Raw genomic sequence first — 7596 nt, forward strand, 5'->3', positions numbered from 1 at the left:
TTTTTCACTGACTCTTCGTTGGCTTCTTTGGCCTTAAATGGAAATTTTTTTATCAAGACTCTGCTATTGTGCCTCTTCATTCTCTATACAATTGGTTCTAAACCTCACTGTGCTTTTAGAATAACTCCAAGAGACCTCAAAGTGCACACTGTGGAATACTATTCCCAGAGTGTTCCAGTCATTGGCTATAGTGTTTATTTTTAGATCTATCTAGCAGGCTTTGGAAATTTATATTTATTTATTTATTTACTTTTGAGATGGAGTCTCACTCTGTCGCCCAGGCTGGAGTGCAGTGGTGCGATCTCGACTCACTGCAACCCCCACCTCCCAGGTTCAAGCAATTCTCCTGCCTCAGCCTCCTGAGTAGCTGGGATTACAGGTGCCCACCACCACGCCTGGCTAATTTTTGTATTTTTAGTAGAGATGGAGTTTCACCATGTTGGTCAGGCTGGTCTCGAACTCCTGACCTCATGATCCATCCGCCTCAGCCTCCCAAAGTGCTGGGATTACAGGCGTGAGCCACCGCACCTGGCTGGCTTTGGAAATTTATGTCTAAAATGCAGGTGAAGGATGAGAGTAGGAGACAGAGATCAGGAAGTCTTACGTAAGTCTGGTAGTATAAAGGTCAGATGAAGTACTCAGGAAGGACTGGTCATCTCCTGGGCTTTCTGCCCCCAGATCACTTGAGATGTCTGTAGAAAGGCACATTTCCTGACCTATGAGTCTTATCTTTGGGGCTGGGGCCTAGGAATCTGCATGTTTAGTAACCTGCCAAGGGATTTTCATCGCACACTAAGACTTGAGTAGTTGCTCAAAATGATTCCATCCCCAAAGTCCACGTTCCTTTCCAACTTCTCCCCAGCACCCCAGTCCAGCAGGACCAACGAGGTAAACCCCAAGCTCCCTAGAGACCCACCTGCTTAGTGAAGAAGCAGAAGGGGAGCAGGCGAGCCCCTTCCCTCCATCCTCCTGAGGTCAGAGGTCCTTGCGGATCCCCATTCACTCTCCCAGTGTGAGGCAGAGAAGCCAGGCACCAACTGTTCTCCGAGTTCGGTGGAACCAAAAGCAATTTAGGGCAATGTGTTCACAGTTCTCCACCCCAAAATAGGAGCCTCCATGGGGCTTGCTTTAATGAGATTTTACTTTATTAGTTCAAGAGTTAATGAAGAAACTGCTGATAAGATAAATCACCTTAGGTGCGGTGTTTTGAAATCTAACCATTTCTCTTAGAAATTGATTTTTTTTCCTTTTGGATATGCAAACTAATGATGAAGTCATAGTAGGGATGTAAGTTTTGGTGCCTTTGGAGGGTCAGGACGTCTGAAGGGAGAACATCTGGCTGAGTGGACAGCTCTTCGAGCCTTACCTTATTTTACATTCTGTCTATAACAGAAACCCATCGCTGTAAAATGTACATACAGTTCCTTTACGCATTAATACTCCATTGTACCAACCCTATTGATTTTTCCAAGTAGACAAAGGCTAAGGATATGTTTATTGATTGTTGCTCAGTGCATTTTAAGTGTATTTTGTAATAAAGAGCATTTTGAGACTGAAACAAACTTTCCCTTAACCAATGGGCAAGTTGAAATTTTAATTAAATGTTACTAAATATTTTTTGTAAAAAATAAGACTATTCACAATTCTACATTCAATGTCCATCAGCTAATGTAGAGAATTACAATCACGTGCCATGCATGTTACAACTAGACCTATGGAGTTAATATAATGTAGGAGTAATGGGAATTACTAATATTGCAAAATGTTGCTCAGGCACCATGTGAAACTGTTGGAAAGACAAGCCAACTCATGGAACTTCTGGAACTGACCATTGGAACACAAAAAGACAGAAGGAGGGAAGAGAAGCCAAACCCTGAAGAGCTTTGGTGGAATTACCTAATTTGGGGTAAAATAGAAAGAACCTTCTCTTTCCCCAGCCCCTTTCTGGAGCAGCCTCCAAAAAGGCTGAGAGTAGGTGCTGAGAAAACATATCTGTCAGACGGATGGCCAGATAGGAAGCCCTGTTTGGTTAGTGCTTTTTCTTTAAAGAGTAGCTGCATAATAATGATTTCTCTTTTCGTTTACTCATTGTCTTTATTCGAGTGGGGGCAGCTAAGATTTGCTTGGGGACATTAAAACATCATTTGGAAAATCAACCTTTGGTATTTGCCAGCTCATATTAGTGGATTTGCAGTTTGATAAACCACTTGGATAGAGGGGGTGCCATCCTTGTCTCAGGTACCTCACGTGGCTTGAAACGGTGTCCACACTGGAAGAAGACATGTCCTCCATCAAGGGCATCCATGAAAATTAATGAGTGGTCCAAAACAATTCGTAAGGAGGGTGAGTCGGTTTAACTCCAAATGTGGTTTCAGAGTGGAGTGTGGCACCTGGGTCCCAGTCACCAGTGGGCTGCCACCACTGGTTCCACCTCCAAAGTAATTTTTAAATCTGTCCAGTCTTTATTCTCCACTAACACCATAGTCTGATCTAAGATATGACTTCTCACTCAGAACAGCACAATAAGCCTCTCAACTGGCTTCCAGCTTCCACTATTCCCACTGTTCGATCCACTTTCTATCTAACAGCCTGAGACATTCTTTCAAATGTAAGCTGGATTATACTCCTCTTCCATCATTTCTCTAGAAATGTGCTGTTCAATACAATGGCCACCAGCCAGCCATGTGTGTCTATTTAAGTTATTTTTTGGTCTTTTGCTATTTTATTCGGAGGATTATTGCATATATATTCATAATGAGAGTCATCTATTCTTCTTCTTTATGCTTTTAATCAGATGTTGGTTTTGTATTGTATTTCTTTATAAAACAATTTGAGAAATTATCTATATTTTTATGATTTCAAATACCTATCTAAATTTAAATGAGTTAAAATTTTTAAAAATGAACAATCCTTTCCTTGGTTATACTAGCCATGTTTCAAGTGCTCATTAGTCACATGTGGCCAGTGGCGACCATGTTGGGCAGCACAGACATCTAGCATTTTTGTTTTACCTGAAAGTTCTGTCCATCTGTACTGCTCTTGAAGATGCAGCAGTTTCTCCCTCAAAGTAGTAGGTGGTGCCCAGAGCTCCTGACCAAGCAAGCTGTATGGTCTCTAAGAACTTTGGGCTTTGAAGGAGTATGGCAAGCTTAATTTGGGGAGCTACTACTTTTTTTTCCCTTTTCTCTTCTCCCTATTCAAGCGGGCTCCAACGATTCTTGCCTCCATTGAGGTTGGTGGCAGCACCTCCTGACTTTTGTCTAAAAGTCTAAATCCATAGAGAAGGACAAGGTTTGAAAGGAAAGGAGGAAATTAAGTCCCATGTGAAGAATAAGGCCTGAGGAGAGAAGAATTTTCCCCAAATTAAAGAGAAATTTCCCTAGGTTGGGGAAAGAGAGAGAGAGATGATCAGGTCCCATAAGTAGCCTAGACTAGCACCCCAAGGAAGTGCATCAGAGGGCAAGAGGGAATGGCATGGGGGACACCAGGAAGCTGGGTCCTGGGCAGAGCCCTCCAGCCTCGCGAAAGATGTTGGACCTCAGGCACATCCCAAAGAAAGCAGAGAAGCTCGCCTGAAGAAAGCATCTGGGCCAGGAGAAGGGACCTCTCTCTCAAGGAGGTAAGGAGCATAGGAGGTGATGGAGGCTCAAGAGGCTCCTTTACACCATGGCCCTGGGCAAGGCCCCAGAACCCAGATAGAACTCCTGGGGGAAAGAGCCCTCACAGAGTTAGGTATTCCATGGAATTATTGGGTTGAGGGCTCAGAGTTGGTGCCACACTGATTGAGGGTGTAAAAGGATGTAGGGTGTGAATTTTACTCTTTCACAGAACTAGAGCTAGAGTTCAGAGCTGCTTATGGATCAGGCGGCCTTAGTCTTAGTATCCTTGGACAGTCCCCGCCTGTTATTCTTAAGATTTGCTTGCTACCCTCTTATTTTGTGTAGAAGGCATCTGAGCCCAGAGAGGCAAAGGCCCTTGCTCCCAAGTTCCCACAGCAGATGACTAAGAGCTTAGGCATTGACATCAGACTGCTGGAGTTTGGCTGTCTGCGCCACCACCTCTTAAGTGTACAACCTGCAGTGGGTGTCTCATGGCTGCCATGACAAAATACCTTATACTGGGCAACTTACAAGCAATAGAAATGTATTGCTCACAGTTCTGGAGGCTGGGAAGTCCAAGGTGCAGGGAGATAGGAATCTATCTGGTGGGGGCTCACTCCGCTTCATAGATGCTACTTTTTCACTGCTTCCTCCCATGGCAAAGGGGCCCACAAGCTCCCTCAGACTTCTTTTCTAAAGACACCAGTCCCATTGATGAGGGTGGATTCCTCACTGAGGCTCCACCTCTTACTACCACCACATTGGGAATTAGGTTTCAACATAGGGATTTGGGAGGAGGGGGACAAAAACATTCTGACCAAGATTGTGGTTATTTGACCTCTGTAAGGTTTTGTTTTCTTAAGGGTGAATGGGACATGATCATGACACTAATGCCCACTTTGAAAGGCTGCTGTAAGGTATAAGTTACACAGTGTGTATGAGCCTCAGCAGACTACTGAGTCGTTCCATAAATTACCAGCTGGGGCCACAGGCTGGCTCTCCTGGCTCCTCATTCAACATTCCTGCCTCATAATAAAGTCAAAGCAACTGCTAATGAGCAGATCAGAAAGTAAAGTTGTAAAACTTCTGAAGTCCCACTTTTTCTCAAATTACAGCAACTCCTTTAGCCAAGGGTAAAATACCCTGACCCACTTGGTTAGAGGTTTGCCATCAAGGCCACTGCCGCGTCTAGCTGTGCAGCCAGCAGAAAATGCGAAACCGTCCAAGCACTTTGGCTTCCACTCCAAGATGATCTGCATGACATTTGGGTCAATCAATCTAGAGATAATGATTCCTGCTGCAGAGCTGTGTGTGTCCAATCACACACACAAAATAAGGGTTCCCAATTGATTTTTGTGAACTGGTTTCATTTTCTCGGAAAGCATTTCAGGTCAATGGTGAAGCTAGGGTGCTGAGAGGAGGTGGCGTGTCTCCACCTAATTTTGCCCAGGAATGTCTGGCTCTCACTGTGCTCTGTGGAATAAAATTGGAATCATCAAGCCCTTTGAGGAATTACAAGGACATTTTAAAGCAGGACTTTTAATGCGGGGGAATAAGCATAGAGCATCTGCCTGGAGGAGATACACACATACACACACACATACACACACATACACATACATACACACACATACACACACACATACACACACACACACATACACACACATACACACACATACACATACATACACATACACACACGTACACACACACGCATACACACACACATACACACATGCCTACGTATACATATATATTCACATAGGTTTGTCTTTCCAGAATAAGTTTCTCACAGCAGCACAGTGACAGTTAGGAATCTGTGGGTACTCTTTTCCTGGGCTATTTTTCCACTTTAATGTGTGAACTTCATTTATAATATCCTCAAAATTAAAGCACAAGGAAACCTAAATGAATAGTTAAAGGGGTAATTAAAAATAGGCAACTGTCCTTGTTTCTCTCCTAAACTGGTTGATTTATGCCTTGTTGTGGTTTTTTTTTTTTTGAGAACACAAAACTATTAATTTATGTGTGAAAAGAACAGTGAATTAATCCTAAAGAGCCCTGCAGCCTTTAAAGACCTGAATCATATGTTGAGCTCATTTAAAACTTGCATAGGAAATTAAGGTAGAATAAAGCCCTTTAATTTGAAAAGTGCATCTATAGTTGCCATCCCTAGGATATCTGCAGGGTCATTATTCAGAAAGGTTAAGGAGGACTTTATTTTTTTATATTCACTATGTATTTCCCAGTTACAGCTCACCATGGTGCATTTCAACTTATAAAGAGAAGGAGATAAAAGGGGGGAGGGGAGCTTTTTATTCACTTTCCACTTAATTTCCTTGCCGCCACGCCAGTCCCAGCTTAATGAATGTAATTGCTACCTTTGATGAAAATACTATTATCAAGATCACACATTACATTGGAAAACAGTTTTTCTTTAAACACAGCTACTGCAGTCTCTAATTATGCATGTAACAAGTGTCTCCCAAACAAAAGAGCATGTTGTCTACAATTGCTAGGAATTGGAGCAAGGCAAATTCGAACAAAGGACAGATTAGATTTGCTCCCCGCTCCACAAAGCCCGTCCCTCTGATTAATTTCCTGCAAAAACTAAAACAATTCTCTTAAAAGGCGCTCGCCCCCTTCTTCAGAATGATCCATATGCCATTTGGGTCTTTCTATAGGATGATAATGGCCTCTGATTTGAACCCGTGTTAGAAAATAAGAAAGGGCTTTTATGAACTTCCTCTTTCATATGCAAATGGACAGCACAAGATCTTGAGGGATAATAAGCCCCCCAAAAAGTGACTTTTTAGTGGCTATAAAAGAGCTCATGGTAGGGGAAAGTCTGCATTGAGCCTGTTCAACCCAGTTATTTTATCAGCTTCAAGAAATGAGGCATCTCTGAGAAAATACCTCTGTGCCTGTTGAGACAGTGGCAACAGCTTTTCTGGGGTGGCCTTTCCTAAAAGACAGTTTCTTGACTTAGGAATAGAATTTTAAAAATGGATTCTGATTAAACAGCAAGTATGCTTGTTAAAGTCTTGTCTTAGGAGACCCTAGGTTTTAATTGCGCTTTGCTATTCATTTGGGAGACTGCATTGGGCAAGTTATCAGGCAAGTTGGGCATGATGTCCTGGGTCTTCATTTCTTTCACTTACCCAGTGTGAGAGGGGAGCGAGATGATCCTGAATGTGCAACTGCCACAATGTCCCCATTCTACCCCCAGCACTATTCAAACCCAGAAGGAAAAAACCAGCTTAGTCCCCAAAACAATATTAGTTATGAGGATGAGGTCTAGAGTCAGACAGCCTGGGTTCAAATCTCAGTTCATAATTTACCTCCTGTGTGACCTGGAAAACAATCATCTTTCTATGTCTTTATTTCCTTGACTTTATTTATTTATTTTTGGTGTTTCCTTTATTGTTTGTATTTATTTATATGTATCTCAACTTTTTTTTAGATTCATGGAGTACATATGCAGGTTTGTCACATGGGTATGTCGTGTGATGCTGAGGTTTGGGGTACAACTGATCCCATCACACAGGAAGTGAGCAGAGTATCCAAGAGTTAGCTTTTCAACCCTTGCCCCATTGCCCCCATTCCCCTCTAATAGTCCTCAGTTTCTACTATTATCATCTTTTTTTTTTTCTTTTTTTGAGATGGAGTCTTCCTCTGTCACCCAGGCTGGAGTGTGGTGATACAATCTTGGCTCACTGCAACCTCCGCCTTCCAGTTTCAAGCAATTCTTCTGCCTCAGCCTCCCGAGTAGCTGGGACTACAGGTGTAAGCCACCACACCTGGTTAATTTTCAGTAGAGATGGGGTTTCACCATATTGACCAGGCTGGTCTTGAACTCCTGACCTCATGATCCACCCACCTCAGCCTCCCAAAGTGCTGGGATTATAGGTGTGAGCCACTGCACACGGCCTATTGTTATCATCTCTACCTCCATGTTTACCCAATATTTAGCTCCCACTTGTAAGTGAAAACA

At 42.9% G+C, this 7596-nt stretch overlaps 1 annotated feature.

Moving 5' to 3' along the window:
* Positions 4556–6836: an enhancer, noted in NCBI's record as "VISTA enhancer hs1319". NCBI's record gives its function as "enhancer in: neural tube[6/8] | forebrain[5/8]" and the evidence as "EXISTENCE:transgenic organism evidence [ECO:0001131][PMID:17130149]".

This window comes from Homo sapiens, chromosome 10, assembly GCF_000001405.40.
Source record: "Homo sapiens chromosome 10, GRCh38.p14 Primary Assembly".
NCBI lineage: Eukaryota > Metazoa > Chordata > Mammalia > Primates > Hominidae > Homo > Homo sapiens.